This window comes from Homo sapiens, chromosome 4 (genome assembly GCF_000001405.40).
Source record: "Homo sapiens chromosome 4, GRCh38.p14 Primary Assembly".
Lineage (NCBI taxonomy): Eukaryota > Metazoa > Chordata > Mammalia > Primates > Hominidae > Homo > Homo sapiens.
In genome coordinates this window covers 103,779,088-103,799,600 of record NC_000004.12, presented here as the reverse complement: position 1 = coordinate 103,799,600, position 20,513 = coordinate 103,779,088, and positions in this window count along the sequence as shown.

Genomic DNA, 20,513 nt, shown 5'->3' with positions numbered 1-20,513 from the left:
GGAAGTCCTACTCAGAACAATTAGATGAGAAGAAGAAATAAGGGCATTTAAATGGGAAAGAAAAATGTTAAATTATCCTTGTTTACAGACAATATAATCTTACATCTAGCAAATCCTTTAAAAGTCCATCAAAAACCTATTAGAACTGATGAATGAATTCAGTAAAGTTGCAGGATATAAAATCAACTTACAAAAATCAGTAGCATTTATATATGCTGACAGTAAACAATGTAAAAAAGAACCCAAGAAAGCAATCCCATTTATCATAGCTACAACAAAAAATAAAATACCTAAAAATAAGTTTAACCAAAGAAGTGAAAGATCTCTACAATTAAAACTATAAAATATTAATGAAAAACATTGAGGAGGACACAAAAATGGAATTATATTGCATGTTCATGAATTATAAGACTCACTATCACTAAAATGTCCATACTATCCAAAGAAATCTACATATCCAAAGTAGTATCTATCAAAATATCAATGATATTCTTCACATAAATAGAAAAAATAATCCTAAAATCTACATGAAACAACAAAGACCCCAATAGTCAAAGTAATTCTGAGCAAAAAGAACAAAGCTGGAGTCATCACATTACTTGATTTCAAATTATACTACAAAGCTACAGTGATCAAAACAGCATGGTACTAGCATAAACACAAGTGCATAGATCAATGGAACAGAATAGAGAACCCAGAAAAATTTAGTAATTTACAATCAACTCATTTTTGACAAAAATACCAAGAGCATACATCAGGGAAAGGATAGTCTTTTCAACAAATAATATTGAAAAAACTGGATATCCATATGCAGAAGAATAAAATCAGACTTCTCTCTCTTATATATAAAAATGAAATCAAAATGGATTAAACTCCTACATGCAAGACTTGAAAGTATGAAATTATTAGAAGGAAGCATTTAGTGAATGCTTCAGGACATTGGTCTGGGCAAAGATTTCTCAATAGCACAGGCAACCAAAACAAAAATTAACAAATGGGATCCTCAATCCAAAAACCTACAGAACAGCACAAGAAACAATCAAAAAATGAATATACAACCTACAGAATGGGAGAATTTATGTATACTATTCAACTGACACTTGATTAACAACCAGGAGATATAGGACACGCCAATGAAGCAATAGCAAACAACAACAATGAAAAACCTATAACACAATTATAAAATGGTTAAACTATCTGAATAGACATTTCTCAGCAAAAGGCATGTGAATGGCTAATGAGTATATAAAACAATGTTCAACGTCACTAATCATGAGAGAAATGCAAATAAAAACCACAATGAGATATAATCTCACTCCAGGTAAAATGAATTTCATCAAAAAGACATAATAATGGATGCTGATGAGGATGTGGAGAAAGGAGAACCTTTGTACGCTGTTGGCTGGAATGAAAATTAGTATGGATGGCCGGGTATCGTGGCTCACACCTGTAATCCCAGCACTTTGGGAGGACAAGGCGGGTGAATCACGAGGTCAGGAGTTCGAGACCAGCTTGACCAACATGGTGAAACCCAGTCTCTACTAAAAATACAAAAAGTAGCCGGTATGGTGGCACACACGTGTAATCCCAGCAACTCAGGAGGCTGAGGTAGGAGAATCGCTTGAACCCGGGAGGCGGAGGTTGTGGTGAGCCGAGATCGCAGCACTGCACTCCAGCCTGAGCGACACAGCAAGACTGTCTCAAAAAAAAAAAAAAAAAGAAAAGAAAGAAAAGAAAAGAAAATTAGTACAGATGCTATGGAGAATAGTATGGAGGTTCCTTGAAAACCAGAAAATAAAACAACCGTATGATCCAGCAAACCCAGCGCTAAGTATATATCCAAAAAAATTAGTAAATTAAAGAGATATCTGCATTCCCATGCGTATTGTGGCACTCTTGACAATAGCCAAGATATGGAATCAACATAAGTATCCGTCAACAGATTAATGGATTAAGTATATGTGGCACATATACACAATAAAATATTATACAGCCAAGTCATTTTCAACAACACAGATGGAACTGGAGGACATTATCTTGAGTGAAATAAGCCAGACACGCAAAGAAGTATATCACATGTGCTCACTCATATGTGGGAGCTATAAAAAAAAGTTGATCTCATGGAGGTATATAGTAGAATGATGGGTTATGAGAGGCTGGGAAGGGTACTAGGAAGGAAGGGATCAAGAGGGGTTGTTTTATGAGTAACAAAATACAGTTAAATTGTTAGATAGTATAAATAAGTTTCAGTGTTTAGCAGCACAATATGGTGACTGTAGTGAACAATTTATATTATTTTTCAAAATCTAGGGGACTGAATTTGGAATGTTTCCAACATGAAGAAATAATAAATATTCGAAGTGATGGCTATCCCAACTACCCTGATTTTATTGTAACATATTGTATTCTTGTATCAAAATATCACATGTACTCCATAAATATGTACAACTATTACATGTCCATAAAAATGGTAAATAATTTTAACAAAAGGTAAATCTAAGCAAAAATAAATAACAGGTAAATCTAATCATCTCTCTTAAAAAAGTTTTGGAGAAATTAGGACTAAAAGAAAGTTTATTAAGAACCCTACATACAAAGAAATAAAAAATAAATATATTTCCTAATAATCAGCAGTGACCACTTTGAAAATATTGTGAAATTATATTCATTTTTATAAAAAGAAAGACACGAAAGCATTTAGACTTAATAAGTTTACTAAAAATGTTAAGGTCAAACAACTATCCAAAAAATAAAATTAACAAAACTCTTACTTAAATAAAACAAGTCACATATAAATGTAAATATTTTTAATGTTTCTTTATGGATTATCTATCTATCTGTCTCTCTGTTTCTCTCTTTCTCTCTCTCTCTCTCTCTCTCTCTCACTCTCTCTCTGTGAGACAGGGTCTTATTCTGTTGCCCAGGCTAAGTGCAGCGGTGTGATCATAGCTCACTGTAGCCTTGAACACCTGGGCACATACGATCCTCCCACCTAGGCCACCCAAGTGTTAGGATTACAGGTGTGAGCCACCACACTCAGTCATCAAATCTGATGTTGTAAATATTTTATTTCCTGCAAAAACAGTCTATGCATTCAAGATAATTCCAAATAAAATCTCAAAGAATTCCGATTGGTACTTAAAAAATAATTCTACCATTAGCTTAGAAAAAAATGCTCAAGAATAGTGTATTTAGAAAGTGAATAGTAATAAGGCAGAGGAGAAATTTAATATAAAATAAATGTATATTTAAAAATAAGTGGTATTTATTTTTATAATGTGGGTAAAAACAGACTATTTTACAAATGGTTATGGAACAAAGGGCTCTCCTTTTGGTAAACAAAATTATATCTCTATCTGAAAGCATTTATTGCATTCTAGACAGACTACAAACCTCCCCCCACATACACACACATATATATAGACACAACTATAACAATACTCAAGCAAATAGCTTAAGGCAGAATATTCCTTCCTAAAATAAAATTCAAAGTCATCAAAAGTAAAGTTTAAAATTTTGAGCATTACTTTTTTTTGTAACAAAATACAAAGTTAATACGCAAGTAAACACATGGAAAAATGTGTGATATATATTTTTACAACCTATGAAAAACTCCTACAAATATAAATTACAAGATAACTGCTTAACTGCATAAAGATCAGTAGCTAAATGCATAAAGGTTATAAAGCAGGTAATTTATTGTAAAAAGAAATACAAATGGGTCCCAAAAATAAGAAGTTCAACTTTACATTTACAAATAGTAGTGTTACAAATTTTAAAAAACGAGGTGATGATACTATTCACTTATCAAATTGGCAAAAAATATTTAAGTTCAATAATATCCAATGTTTAACTGGAAAAAATGGGTACCTCAAGGCACTATTGTTGAGAGTATAAAATAGCAGCCTTTCTAGATGGAAGCTTGACTGAAAATATTCCTACAAATTATGCATTATATCTGACCCATCAAATCAATGTAATATATATAATATATATACATATATAATATATGCCTATATACATATAATATATATATAATATATGCATATATGCATATATTATATATATGTACTACAATCTGCCATACAATTCTGTATACAAGAGTACTTATCTTAGCATTACTTGTAATCATGAAACAGTACAAATTATATAAATATCCAGCAACAAATGTGGTTAGAGTGAATCTTCATTTTTTATAAAGTCTGACTGCATAGCATACTCATCTATATATGATCACAATATTTTAAAACTGACATGAATTTCAGAAATCTTATAGAGAGAAGAAATTGAGACCTGAAGATACTTTCATTTTTGCCTAAAATTGCAGAGCAAGTTTATGCCTGAACTGAGAACTGGAAACTGCTCAACCCACGGAGCTACTTACTTTTTACTGCAAAACTCTAAAGACCATTTAAACAAAAGCTACAGGAAAGGCTTCTACTATCACCCTCAGTTTATTGATATGCTAATCTGTCATTAAATATTTTCTACTTTCTGTTTATTTTGTTTCCAATTTATTGGAAATCACTGCCAGGATTTGTACCCGGTAGCAGCAGAAGAAATAATAAACTAATGGTTTTGTTGCCTAAATATTAATTTTTAAATTAGTCATTCTGAACACCAAACATCAGCTTAATTCATGACATATTAGAAGTGTTAGAAGTTTGGTTAATTAACCCAATCACATTTATCCTGACCCTAAATTTATCAGCTATGGGGAGAGTAAGAATGTCAATACGCAACTTACATTGCTATTGTTTCCTACCATGTTCCTGACTTGTTGGCATGAGAGTTAATAAAAATATTCCATACTTTAGGTAACAGTCTCATGAGGCCTTAAACAAAGAATGAGTAATAACTTACACTTAATGAAATATATGGCTGAGAATAAAGTGAAACAGGCATTAAAACACATGGCCGGTAGGCACACAAATCGTTAAGTTTTCTGGAAAGCAATTTAAAAATTCTTACCAAGATTCTCAGAAGTGCTCAGAACTCCAACTCAGAATTCTGTGAATAATAGTTCAACCTAAGGAAAGAACAAGAAAAAAGACAAGGGTTTATGTATAAATATCTTCATCTCAAAATAATTTACAATAGAAGAAAATAAGCATGCAATAGCTGCAAAATAAGTATTCAATTTTAACTAAGTTGATAATAAAAAGAATAAAACAAGGAAATGAGATAAACTAGATAGAATTACACAAAAATATATGTGTATGTGTGGAAACATGTAAGAAAACATTACTATGATTTGTCATGTTAACACATTTTTGAATGGGAACAACCAAACTAAATGTTCAGTGTAGAAATACTTCAAAACAAAGATTCTGGGAACTTCTTTGTAACAAAACTTGAATTTTTTTTCTCAATGGTTTTGGGGATACAGGTGGTTTTTGGTTACATGCATAAGTTCTTTAGTGGTGATTTCTGGGATTTTGGTGCAACTGTTACCCAAGCAATGTACACTTTATCCGATATATAGTATTTTATTCTTCACCCACCTTTTAACCTTTCCCGGTGAGTCCTCTAAGTCCACTATATCATTCCTGTCCCTGTATGCCCTCACAGCTTAGCTCCCACTTATAAATGAGAACCTATGATATTTGGTTTTCCATTCCTGAGTTGCTTCACTTAAAATAATGGCCTCCAGCTTTATCCAAGTTGCTGCAAGAGACATTATTTTGTTCCTTTTTATGGCTGAATAGTATTCCATGGTGTATATATATATACCACATTTTCTTTATCCACTCATTGATTAATGGACACTTAAGTTGTATCCATATCTTCTCAAGTGCAAATTCTGCTCCTCTAAACATGTGTGTGTATGCATATTTTTCATATAATGACTTCTTTTCCTTTGGGTAGATAGCTAGTAGTGGAATTCCTGGGTCAAATGGTAGTTCTACTTTTATTTGTTTAAGGGAGCTCCAGACAGATTTAGTGGTTGCACTAGTTTACATTCCCACCAGCAGCATAAAAGTGTTCTCTTTTCACCAAATCCACGCCAACATCTATCTTTTATTATTATTATTATTACTATTGCCATTCTCGAAGGAGTAAGGTGGTATCTCATCATGGTTTTAATTTGCATTTCCCTGATGATTAGTGATATTGAACATTTTTTTCATGTCTGTTGGCTGTTTGTATATATCTGCTTTTGAAAAATGTCTACTCATGTCTTTTGCCCAATTTTTTAAAATTATACTTTAAGTTCTGGGATACATGTGCAGCAAGTGCAGGTTTGTTATATAGGTATACACGTTCCATAGTGGTTTGCTGCACCCATCATCTCATCATCTACATTAAGTATTTCTCATAAGGCTATCCCTCCCCTAGTCCCCCAACCCTGACAGGCCCTGGTGTGTGATATTCCCCTCCTGTGTCCATGTGTTCTCATTGTTCAACTCCCACTTATGAGTGAGAACATGTGGTGTTTGGTTTTCTGTTCCTGTGTTAGTTTGCTGAGAATGATGGTTTCCAGCTTTATGCATATCCCTGCAAAGGACACGAACTCATCCTTTTTAATGGCTGCATAATATTCCATGGTGTATATGTGCCACATTTTCTTTATCCAGTCCATCATTGATGGACATTTGGGTTGGTTCCAAGTCTTTGCTATTGTGAAAAGTCCTGCAATAAACATATGTGTGAATGTGTCTTTATAGCAGAATGATTTACGATCCTTTGGGTATATATCCAGCAATGGGATGGCTGGGTCAAATGATATTTCTGGTTCTAGATCCTTGAGGAATTGCCACACTGTCTTCCACAATAGTTGAACTAATTTACACTCCCACCAACAGTATAAAAACGTTTCTATTTCTCCATATCCTCTCCAGCATCTTTTGTTTCCTTATTTTTAATGATTGCCATTCTATCTGGCATCAGATGGTATCTCATTGTGGTTTTGATTTGCATTCTCTAATGGCCAGTGATGATGAGCTTTTGTTCATAGGTTTGTTGATCACATAAATGTCTTCTTTTGAGAAGTGTCTTTTCATATCCTTTTCCCACTTTTTGAATGGAGTTGTTTGTTTTTTTCTTGAAAATCTGTTTAAGTTCTTTGCAGATTCTGGATATTAGCCCTTTGTCAGATGGATAGATTGCAAAAATTTTCTCCCATTCTATAGGTTGCCTGTTCACTCTGATGACAGTTTCTTTTGCTGTGCAGCAAGAATAATTATTTCCATATAGGCCTTTTGGATTGTCTTTGATGGAACTCTGTTCCTCAAGGAATCTCAGATAAAAACCTTTTAAAGCCCAGCCATGGGCTTGTATCCTCGAATACCTGTGAGTTGGGTGATCCTTTTCTCTTAAGGTCCCAAGATGAACTTGGAACTCCTGGATCTGTTAGAGAGTGGCATTCTTTACTGACCACAGGTTAGGAACCCTGTGCAGGGACTGTGTTGACAAGGTATGAGGTCAGTTCTCCTGACAGGGTTTTTATTGGCTCTTCAAGTCAAGATTGACTCCTTAGAAGGCAGCATACCCTTCCAGTCAAAGCCTTGATAAAATAACAGTTTTTCCAATTGTGTCCTGTTGAAAAAGTGAAATGGATTCTTATTGCACTGATGCAAACAACTATATTGCCATAAGTTAAGAGTACTCACAGATAGTTACCAAATTCTAGAGGATCCAGGCAGAGAGAAACAAACGTGCTCCAAATTTTGTTCAGAGGAATACACATTGCTCAATTATTAAAGGCTGTAAAAAGTTCAAAATAAGTTTCCTTAACTCTGAAAAACAAAACGAGGATCAGAAATATTCCAAGCAAAAGTCCAAAAGTTTGCTTTAACTTTCTGAGTGCAGTCCATTTAGTTAACTCTTGTTTTGCTTGACTTTTATGAACATTTTAGTTCTTCATGAATCCTTTCCTTTTTTTTCTCTATTCCAATTTACAATCTTGAAAGCTATTGGAAACCTGCATTTGAGAACACCTGTTAAAGTCTTATAGCTTGATTATAACCCATCTGTTGAAAAGGAACAAAGGAAGACAACAATTGTCTGTGAGTGACACAATTTCCAAGGTAGTTACACTTAAAAACACAACTGACAAAGAAGTTTAGTTATCTCTGTGGTTTACAATAACTTTACCCTTAATTAGGATTGATAGCATATATTCAGACATTAGAATTTTAGAAATCCCATACAATTTTGGAACATATATTAGTATTACTCAACAAAATATAACTTAAAGAAGATTAGACATCATTTTGGCAATCTCATGCAACTGAAAATGTCAAACGATCTGGTTCACCTCTTTTCTGAATGTTTCAGGGGTCCTCTGAACCATCCAGAAAATCAGGCATTAGGAAAGACAGTTTTGAAACTTGACGCTTGAATTTGGGACACCTGTTAAATGTTAGAGGTTTAAAACACTTGATGTTATGAAATAGAATTTCAAATTGCCATAAATTATTTATTTTGCCAAAATGACTCAAAAGGCAAAAACCTTTTATTAGCCTTTACTATTACATGAAAATCCTGTTCAAAGTCAAATTTACTTTTGCATTGGTATATTAATGTTAACTCCAATTTATTTAAATGAAACCTTATAGATGATTCTATCTAATCTTAACCAATTTCACCATGAGGTAAAATCTTTGCAAACCTTTTATAACTCTTTTGCCAAAGGGCAGATTAGCATCTTAAGACAACCTTGCTGTGCTTTTATTTCAATGCTCAATTTATGAAAAGACGATAGAGTACCCTTTTGAATTTAGTTAATGTTACATATTTTTGCAAGATTAATTTTTACAGTCTTTCCACAACTAACTTAAGTGTTTAGCTTTATCTTATTAAATTTAAGATAATTCCTTATCCTTGTGCAAAATTTACACTTCCATGCTTTCTTATAATCTTTTACTAAAAAATACATTTTACTGTTTTTATAAGCCTTGCATGTAACACTGTTTGGTGATCTCAAATACATGTTGCACTGTTAACTCAGCAACTTTTACTTTTGGTGAAAAACCTGGTTAGTAAGCAATTTTAATTATGTACCAGATGTGGAGCCTAGGACCAAGACAGAAGTGCAGATAAAGTCTGACTTTTCCCAGCATCTAACTCCATGTGTCCCAGGCCTTATACAACCTTGGAACATTTAGCAAACCTAGTATCTAAGTTGTATGATTTAGACCATCTATTTGCATTTTGATGACACTTTACTTTTATTACATTTTACCAATAATCCTTAAGACTATTTTTATTCCTTAAAGATTAAAGTCACATGAACTAAAACATATTTTATTTAAGTGCTCATTTTCTTTTAAGCCAATCAATTAGAGATCTTTTTGTAGACATTACACAAAACATATATATAGCAACACAGACAGAAGGTTCATCACTCATAAGATTTTTTATTTGCCAGTTTCTTACTTAGATCACTGGCTTCAGGATGGAACCTTTGGAGGAGCAGGGCCAGTAGAATGCATTTTTAGGGCCTGAGAAGCAGGCACAGCTGAAGGCAAAGACAGATCCCTAAAATTAAGGGTGCCATTTTATACTGAATTTTGGATCCTCAAAGGGAGGGAGATACTATGGAAGAAGACAGTACAGTGCTTCTGTCACACATTTCATTGCAAGGAAACCCAAAGCCAATCAGCTTATTTTGTAATCAGCCCATCTTCCATGGGAGTCTTATCTCTCAGTGGTGGGGAGAGGAATGTTTTCATGTCTTTCAGGTAGCTAAGAGCATGCTTCTCTGATTTATAATTACCATTAGCCATCCCTTAAAGTGTATTTTCTACCTAGTTATTACATACCAAAGCTGTCTCCTAATGTGAATTTGATAGCCCCAAAACTCAAAACTGTCAGATAACACAATGTAAAACAGAACAGAGCCTTTGATTTTGAGAGGAAATTATCTGCTTTTAATTCTTGGGGTTTCATGAGGAAAATGGAGTTTTTTTTTCCCAAAACAGTGTCTGTGGTGTCTCCTCTGTTTTTCTCAAGGAGTCCCATGCTACCAGAAGTTATCTTAGGTCTTAGGGCCTCTCATGTGTGCATTAAGAGTCGCAAGACAATAATTCAGTTGACTGAGAAGAAAAAAAATCTTTTTTCAGAAAAACAAGATCCAAGAACAGAAAAACATAAAGGCTTTTTAAATATACCTATAACTCGAATATCCACTTTTAATTAAGCTGAGCACTCTCTAAGAAAATCCTTTTAAATCCCTTGTTACTTGATGTTAGCCATGCCAAGCAGTTAAGATTCTCAGCTTTCGAACTCTACAAAAAGTAACCTCATAGGTGAAACCAATAAGCCTTAATTCGATTATGACTTAACTGTGAATGTATGAGGTATTTTCAAAGGGATGATAAGCAGCTTTTGAAACTGTCATTGGAAAATTGTGACCAAGAAAGTGAAAGGGATCTGACCCAAACAACTCTGTTTTGTTTCCAGCCCCGAAGCTGTCCTTGCTTATCCATGGGTGTAGACCAAACTAACTTTGAGAGGAGCCTGGTTTAGTTAATAGTCTAAAACAAAGATAATAACAGCCCCTTCTTAATATATACTTCCCTCTTGCCTGGGCACCAGACCAAGAAATTAGCCACAAGATTAGAAGCCATGGCCTAGGAGTCACACAGCTGGAAGCTACAAGATTTTGACCCTACCTAAACTGCTCTCAAGATCAGTGCTTAAGATATTTTGTAAACCCTGCCCTTGATGGATCAGCTGGCACCAATCAGATTGATAAACTGGCTCATCTGATTTTGTGGTCCCCACCCAGTAACTGACTTAGCACAAGGAGACAGCCACCATTGTAAAAGGGCAGAGACTAAAACAAAGTATTGCCAAGTGGTTACAGGTCATGTTGCCAAGGACCTGAAACAAGATGGAGGCCTGTAGCCATGTTTGTTACTGACCATTTTGTTGGACTGGCTTGAACAGCAGGCTTATGGGGTCCTGAGCCTGCATTCTAATCTAAGTGACCCTTTCTTTTCACAAAACCATACAGAAAGACACACAAAGCATGCCATATTGGCTACAGCTTAAGACCAACCTCACAAATCTTTTTCATTAATTAAAACTTTATGGGGAATATAAATAATGATCCTTATTATCACTTTTGCCAGTTTGCATAGAAAGAGAGAGAAGCCAAAACTTGACTGGTAAAAAATATATATTTATATATATATATATATATATATATATATATATATATATATATATCTTTCGCTCTTTTGCTGGCATGTCAGGCTTCTAGGTTCGGGAGAGAGAAACCAAAAGCTTGACTGGTTAAAACAAACAAAAAAATTTAGTCTTTTGCTGTCATGTCAGACTTCTAGGTTCCCTTACCCCTAGCTCAACTATAAGCCAAGCATTTTATTTTTTATTTTTTATTTTTTTTGAGACAGAGTTTCGCTCTTGTTGCCCAGGCTGGAGTGCAGTGGCATGGTCTTGGCTCACTACAACCTTTGCCTCCCGAGTTCAAGCGATTCTCCTGCCTCAGCCTCCCAGGTAGTTGGGATTACAGGCACCTGCCACCACACCCAGCTAATTTTTTGTATTTTTAGTAAAGACAGGGTTTCACCATGTTGGCCAGGCTGGTTTTGAACTTCTGGCCTCAAGCAATCCACCAGTCTCGGCCTCCCAAAATGCTAGGATTATAGGCGTGAGCCACCACGTCTGGCCTAAACCATGCATTTTAAGGTTCAGGGAAATTAACTTTTCCCAGGTTGGAAGAACATTATAAAAGTGCCATTTTAAACTGTGAAAAAAGGAAAAACACCATAGAACATACTGGGTGTTCCAATTAGGGTTGTCAAGAGGTACTGCCTCTCTTCCTATTGAAAATGGTGTTTCCCATATTTCTTTGCCTTCCCTATTTTCTCTCTTACCTTTTTGCCTACTATAGGAGACACAGTGCTCATCTCTGAAATCCTCTGCTGCCTGCAGAGTTCCTGTTTTTCAGTGGCAGTTAGGGTTTGGCTTAGGAGCAGCATAACAGCCCTCCATGAGAGGTCAAATATCTGAGGTAAATTTCAGAAAGCTTTTGTACACCTATCAGGGACATTAGAAAATTGACCTAAGTCTCCCTTTATTTGCCTAAGGTCCTGCAATGAGGAGGAAACTTGAACCCTAGTGGCAGCAACTTCATTGGGCATTTCCTGTAGGGGTAAGAGCAAAGGTGGGGGAGTGGGATATTTTGGAGATAGTGGGGGTGGAATAGCTGGAAGCATGGTTGGAGGTGGCCCCAGATAAGAAGGACTGGAAGGGCTGGGACATTCGATGGCTGCCTCAGATGGTGCCCCCAGAAGTTACTTTTCTAGTCTTGGGGAATCATTCCCTTTGGACCTGCCTGATCTGATTGCTAAAAGGACTGGGTTGATTGTGCAATGCTTGCAAAGGTCTGGGTTGTCTTGCAGAGCAACGGAAGCCTGTACGTAAGGTACCTCAGAACATTTGCCCACCCGTCTGCAGAAAAGATCTAATTGTTGGATAATATTAAAATTAAGGGTCCCTTCACAGGCCTGGATGGTTCAAGAGGGTGAGAAGCCCATGCCCTTGAGAAAAGAAAATAAGCCACTTTTTAAATTAAAGTTTCAGAGTCAAAGGAGTCTTTGTGCTTCAGAAGGCACTCCAGAGGAATACAGGCCAAAGATGATAAAGAAAAGTGAGAAAACAGAGTCCCTTTAGTCTCCTTCCTTTTGGTGTGACCCAGGGTGGAAAGGAAGACAGTGAGGGCGTACCCCCTGCTGTTTTCCCTCTGTGGTTTCTGGGTCCCAGCACCTTGTTGAATATGCTGCTCATGGTTGCAGGTGTGATCCCAGCCATAGAACCAGAGGAACTATGTGGTTGGGATTAGTCACACTCACCCAAGTGGCTCTAGTCCTCTGCCTGTGATTTCCCATTGACTTTCTAGACTTGTGTGACCTGCCTGGCTCCCCTAAGAATAGATCTTGGGAGACACTATGTGACAGTTACATTAGGGCAAATGTTGCACTTCCCTCCTAAATGGAGGAAGTGTGCTGGTTTGAGCTCTGTATCTGTTATTACAGCCCATGCTAAAGCGTTTACCCTTAGAGAATGGTTCTGGTTAACTTCTGAACCTAAAATTCCCCTACTAATTAAGTACCATTCTAACTGGAGGCGTAATAGGTGCGTTAAAAGAACATAGGGACTGAATGGCCATTTTCCTGCTGATGGGACAGTATCAAGACTAAAATTTGGCTTTGGAGGATATTTTACCCCTAATTGTTGAAATCAAAATTTTCCCATTTACACAAGCAGCGTGAAGCCTGGTTTCTAGTAGAGAGGTGCAAAAAGAGGAGAGAATTGGGAAGCTAGAGTGTTTTGTTGAAGGACCGACAATGTGCCTCAAGGAGAAGATTCCTATTCCACTAGGTGGCACTGTTGACCTTGAAGTGCCATATGCTCTCCAGACCAAGGGAAGAGTGACCTTGACATGTCATGTGCTCTCCAGGCCAAGGGCAGAGAGTGACCTAGAAGTCCCATGTGATCTCCACACCAAGGGCAGAGATTGACCTGGAAATGCCATGTAATCTCCAGGGCAGAGAGAGGTACTCACTGTTGGGTGGGGGGTCTCTGTTCATAGAAAATCACAAAGCCACCTTCCCTTGAGCTATATCCCCAGTTACTACCATATTACCTGATCTCGTCAAACAAGATTACGTTCCTGTAAAACTTCCCGCACATTGCATAAACAGAGAAGTTAAGAGATACGGATGGTCACAGACAGGAAAGGAGGAAATTACAATAGCAAATTTGGAGATCCTGTGGCCGACACTCCATCAGGACAGTCAGAGGCTGGGGTCAGTCCAGAAGCCCTTGGATAACAGTGGGAGGTAGCCCCAGCCAGAAATCCTCAGTTGTCTCAGGACTTCTTCCAGCCCCACATGACAGCTAAGCCCCTTGTGTAAGGAAGCTGGTTTAAACATGGCCAATATGCCCAGCCACCCATGGGTGCTGGGGGATTCTCCATGCTCTCTATAGCAAGTCTATCCCCCAAGTCTTGTAAGGCTAGCAGCCGTGCTAATCATTTTTAAATGGCTGAAGGGAACCCAGCATTTGGTTTGATTTGGTTCTAAAATGGAGGCCAAGAGCCTCAGAATGAAAGGACAGAGTTTGAGTTTGCTCCTCTACTCACCGTTTTGATGAATGTTGTACCTTGGTATCCCGAACGAGGTTCCCATTATGAAGCAGCAATATTGTCTGGGGCATATACCTGGGATTCATTGTCATGCGCCAGGAAAATTTAAGACACAGACAGACAAGAGTAGTTTAGGAGTGGAGGTTTAATAGGCAGAAAAGAAGAGAAAGAGAAACAGCTCTCTCTATAGAGAAAGGGGTCTCTGAGCAGAAAGGAGCAGCTGGTGGCAAATGCACCAGATTTTATAGTCCAGTTTGAGGAGGCGGTGTCTGATTTACCCTATGTATGTGTATGCTCACAGTTGGTTGGATCAGGTATGATGTTTACATAGTGCACAGGGAAGGCTGGTTACCCCACCCTAGTATTATGCAAATGGGCTTTCCAGTTGATCGGTGCCATCTTGTCTGCTCCTTACAGTACATGTGGCTGACAAACAGAAAGGAAGATGGAGCCGCCTTCTTGAACATGTCTAGTCCCTAGTTCCTGCCAGCATTCACACGTGCAAGCTCCCAGCTTGTTTGTCTATGTCTGCAGATTGACTTTATAGGCTGCTCTTTGTTAGAAAATGATTTGGGGCTGCTTTTTATGAAAAAGAGAAGCCTTACCAAGGAATCCTATACCCTTACTGTCTGCCTAAGTGATTTCTTCTCAACTCCTGCACCATTGGGATGGTTAATGGTTACAAAAAATCATTAGAAAGAATAAATAAAACCTAGTATTTGATAGCACAACAGGTGTCTATAGTCAATAATAATTTAATTGTACATTTTAAAATCACTAGAAGTATATAATTTGATGGTTTCAGAAGATAAATTCTTGAAAGGATGGATATCCCATTTCCCATGATGTGATTCTTACACATTGCATCCCTAAATCAAAATATTTCAACTACCTCATAAATATATAAACCTACCATGTACCTACAAAAAATACAACTAAAGACACTGAACCCAGAAATTTTTTACTTGCTTTGTGAAGTGGAGTAGCCCTGCCTCAGAACCCAGAGCTATGTCACTCATTGGCATAATGGTGATGTACTCATTCCTTTTGGGATATGTGAATTATCTATAAGTCTTTATAAAAATATATAAACCTGAACTTTATCTGTGAAAATGTTGATTTACTAAGTCTTGGTTGAAGCTCCACAGGAGAATCTAACATGCAAACAAGGTTGTGTTTATACTAGAATAATAGAAATATGGTATAGAAAGATCATATTAAGTAAGCTTTTTTCCAGAAATAGAATTACTGTAATATACTTAATTTGTTGAGATAATTGGTACACATGTCAAAGCCAGTGATTTCAGGATATGTGTGTGTACATACACAGAGAGAGATTATGTAATCATGTAATATTGTATAAGTATTAAATATACTTAATAAGGTATTAGATGATACATAAATTGATGACTGAAACATTGTGATGTAAAGAGAATTATTTTCATTTCACAAATAAACAAGGTGATGTTTAAAATGGCAAGCATTCACTCAAAGTTATGTACCAATAAAGATTAAATGCTGAATGCAATTCCTTGCTTTCTGATTGTTAGTATGAATTAGTGAGCTGGAGAAAGAGTAGGGACTTGATTGACCAGGAACTTTGATGTAATCAGGCTCAGTGTGAAGCTTTGCCTTGGCATTTCACTAGGTGTATATGATTTGGATGGTAGATAAGCTTTGTTTTCTGTTATGTACGAGTTAACAATCATGAGAAGGTTTCTTATCTCTAGAATAATCCTGTATACTTCTACTTTCCTGAAGCAGCCAGCCAATATACGTAAGGCTACAGCAGTCCTCTATCATCAAAGTCTGGCCTTATAAATGAATTGCAGAAAGTTCTAACTTTGGGAAATCCATAGCTATTTGCAGTAGAAAAATATAAAAGATGTAGGAAACTCAGACTCTCAGCACTCAAAAAGTTCAAATTAGAAAACCTATTTGGAATCCCATTTATATCAATCTGCTATGCAATTCTACCTTCTAAGCTTATGTTTTAGCAGTGAGAATAGCATCATATTTTTCCCTTCTGTTTTTTTATCAGGTGAGTGAATGTTTGTGGAGGCAGAATCACAAAGTAAGAGAAACTTACTTTTAGATAAGCTCTAGTGTTTCCATCAGATCTTGTTGGTCTGGTGAAAATAAAAAATTCAATCTCATGGGATTCTTGTGAGGTTCAAATTAGCTAAGATATGTGCATATGAAAGCAGAATATAAACCACAGAGTATTACATAAAGTTTCTCTCCTTTGAGGCTATGAAATTTTTATTTAGATATTTCTTTTTCTGAGATTTATAGTATTATCAATGTCAAATGAATTAAGAGAAACATCACATAACAAAATGGCTAAAAAGTAGGCTTTGGAGTTGGAGTGCCTGGGTTCACATCTAAGGCAAATAATTTATCTACTCACATCTTCAGTTTACTCATTTTTCAATTGTATAATTATAGTACTTAATTAATGGAGGTGTAGATTAAATATGGTACCATGTGTAAAAATTTAGTACACGGCCGGGCGTGGTGGTTCACGCTTGTAATCCTAGCACCTTGGGAGGCTGAGGCGGGTGGATCACGAAGTCAGGAGATCAAGACCGTCCTGGCTAACATGGTGAAAACCCATCTCCACGAAAAATACAAAACATTAGCCAGGCGTGGTAACACATGCCTGTAGTCTCAGCTACTCGGGAGGCTGAGGCAGGAGAATCACTTGAAACTGGGAGGCGGAAGTTGCAGTGAGCCGAGATTGCACCACTGCACTCCCACCTGGGCGACAGAGCAAGACTTCATCTCAAAAAAAAAAAAAAAAAAAAATTGTACGTATAATTAGCACTAAATACATCTTAACTCTTCTTTTCCAGTTCATCACACTAATGTACTTGTATTCAAAACCATAAATAACAGGATATCTCAAACTGCTTTGTTGGAGCTCTAAGTTTGCTCAAATTACTTCAGAACCAAGAAAAATATAAGGGTAGGCTCAAGACAACCACACATATGCCTTTCAACTGCTCCATTCTGCCTTTATCTGCTTTAATAGTTTGAAAAACATTTCTAGAATAATATTTTCTTTTACTTTGAATTTTCAGGAAAGATTGAAAACATTTCCAACAGCATTTTCAAATGTCTTAATATTTCATCAGTAAAATCTTACTATTTACAGGAATACCCCCATTTTATTGTGCTTTGCTTTAATGTGTTTCAGATATTGGTTTCTTTCTTTCTTTCTTTCTTTCTTTCTTAACCAATTGAAGCTTTATGGTAACCTTGCATTGATCTTCTATTGGCACCATTTTTTCCAATATGTGCTCAATTTGTATCCCTGTGTCACATTTTAGTAATTCTTGCAATATTTCAAACTTTTTAAATTATTATTCTGTTATGGTGATCACTGATCTTGAATGTCACTGTTGTAATTGTTTAGAGGCACCATGAGTCATGCCCATATGAGACAGTAAATGTATTCTGTTAATGTTGTGCATGTCCCGACTACTCCAGTGACAGGTAATTTCCCCATCTATCTTTCTCTCATTAGGCCTCCCTATTCCCTGAGACACAGCAATGTTGAAATTAGGACAATTAGTAACCCTACAATGGCCTCTATGTGTTCAAGTGAAAGTAAGTGTTGCATGTCTCTCACTTTAAATCAAAAGCTAGAAAAGGTTAAGTCTAATGAGAAAGGCAAGTTGAAAGCTGACATAGGCCAAAAGCTAGGCCTCTTGCACCACTTACCCAACTTGTGAAACAAAAGAAGCTTTCGGAGAAAATTCCAGATGCTACTTTAGTTAACACACTAATGATAAGAATGTGAACAGCCCTTTTGCTGATATGGAGAAAGTTTTAATAGACTGGATAAAAGATCAAACCACCTATGACATTCTCTTAAGCCAAAACCTAATCTACAGCATGAGCCTAATTCCCATCAAGTTTGAAGCTAAGAGAGGTGAGTTTATGAGACTTAAGAATAAAAAAGCCATCTCTAGTAACATAAAAGTGCAAGATGAAGCAACAAGTGCTGATGTAGGAACTTCAGCAGTTACTTACCAAGTATACTTCAGATAATTGAAGAAGTTAGCTAAACTAAACAACAGATTTTTGATGTACATGAAACAATCTTACATTCATTATAAAATGATACCATCTAAGACTTTCACAGCTAGACAGGAAAAATCAATGCCTGGCTTCAGGACAGAGGAACTCTCTTGTTAGGGGCTAATGCAGCTTGTGACTTTTACTTGAAGTCAATGCTCATTTACCATTCCAAAAATCCCAGGCCTTCAGAATTTTCCTAAATCTACTCTGCCTATGCTCTATAACTGGAACAAGAAAGCCCAGATGATAGCACATCTGTTTACACCATGATTTAATGAATATATTAAGGCCACTGTTGAGACCTACTGATTAGAGAGAAGATAGCTTTCAAAATATTACTGCTCACTGAGAATGCACCTAAATCACATAAGAGCTCTGATGGAGCTCTGATGGAGCTCTTGTGTGATTTGGTCTGCATCCGTTCTGCAGTCCATGCATCAGGGAGTAATTTTGACTTTCAAGTCTTATTATTAAAAAAATACATTTCATAAGGCTATAGCTGCCACAACTACTGATTCTTCTGATAGATCTGGGCAAAGTAATTGGAAGCCTTCTAGAAAGAATTCACCATTCTTGGTGCTATTAACATTCACAGTGCATGGGAGAAAGTCAAAATATCAACATTAGCAAGAGTTTGGAAGAAGTTGATTCCACCTCTCATGGATAATTACGAGAAGTTCAAGACTGCTGTGGGGAAATTAACTGTAGATATGGTGGAAATAGAGAACAAAAATTGGAAATAGAGTCTGACAATGTGACTCAAGTGCCACAACTCATGATAAAACTTTAACAATAAGGAGTTGCTTCTTAAGGATGAAAAAAGAAAGTTATTTCTTAAGATGGAATCTACTCATGGTGAAAATGCTGTGAACACTGTTGAAATGACAATAAATGACTTAGCACATTACATAAACTTAGTTAATGAAGCAGTGGCAGGATTTGAGAGGATTGACTCCAATTTGGAAAGTTCTACTGTGGGTAAAATGCTATCACACAGCCTCACATCCTCCATAAAATCTTTCATGAAAGGAAGAGTCAATAAATGTGGCAAATTTCATTACTGTATTATTTTAAGAAATTGCCACAGCCACCCCAACTGTCAGCAACCACAACCCTGATTAGTCAGCAACCATCAACACTGAGACAGGACCCCCCACCAGCAAAAAGATTGCGACTCACTGAAAGCTCAGATGATTAGAATTACTTTAGCAATAGAGTAATTTTAATGTATTTTGTATAGACATTACAAACAATATTATAAGTATGACATGAAATGTATTCTGTATATTATTCATACATTTATTATAGTCTAAATACAAACAATAATGTATTTACACTATAGTATAAACATAATTTTTATATGTACTAGGAAAACAAACGTTCATGTGAATTACTTTATCACAATATTTACCTTATCGTGGTGGTCTGGAACTGAACCTACAATGTTTCTGAGGTATGCCTCTATATATTTTTTGTACTGAAACTGAAGTCTCTGATATATTTAGTCTACACAATAAACATACAGAACAGATGACTCAGGTACCTTTGAGATGCTTTTATATATTGATGATTTCTACACTATTAACATTCATGTAGCAAAATTTATCAGGCAGAATTGTTTTATAAATTGGAAGATACGTATTCTCCAGCTCTGAAGCAGTTTTTGCTCAATATTTGTTAAATCACCTAAGTAGGAAATCTAAATGAAATACTAAAATAAGACTAATCCTGTTTCTATTTTGTCTGAGATTCCAAGGTGATAATGGATATCAGATATCAAAGCAAGGAGCTAGACTAAAAAGCATATTTTCAAAGGATGTATCCAAAAACCAGCATCATAGGAGTTATTTACTCTTTCAGGAACTTCTATTGAAAGGGTATAAGGAGATACGAAGAGTGAAGGAGTTTCTGTGGCAGAAGCAATGCTATGTATTCACTGCATAATGTCTTTCCCCAGGAATATGAATAAGGCATAACCTCCCAAATTATGTCAGGGGGTGTAAGACTGAGTATTGGCTAACAAAATTAATTTAATGGAGGTGGAGGGTATTTAAGCTACTTGCAGACACTGGCCTTACAAACAAACAGTGTGATCCTGTCTTCTCTTCTACCATAATTTTGAAGACTGCATGATTCTGCTATGATGGAAAAGGCCTGGATTTGGGGTTATCAGAGTAGAGCCAAAAAGAACTATCTGCTTTGCATCAGATGTGGTAGAAAAAAATTGGATACATTGTATTAAGCCACAGAGAATATGACACATTTATCACTGAGCCTATCACTGTCTGAATGAAAAAATTCCTTTGGA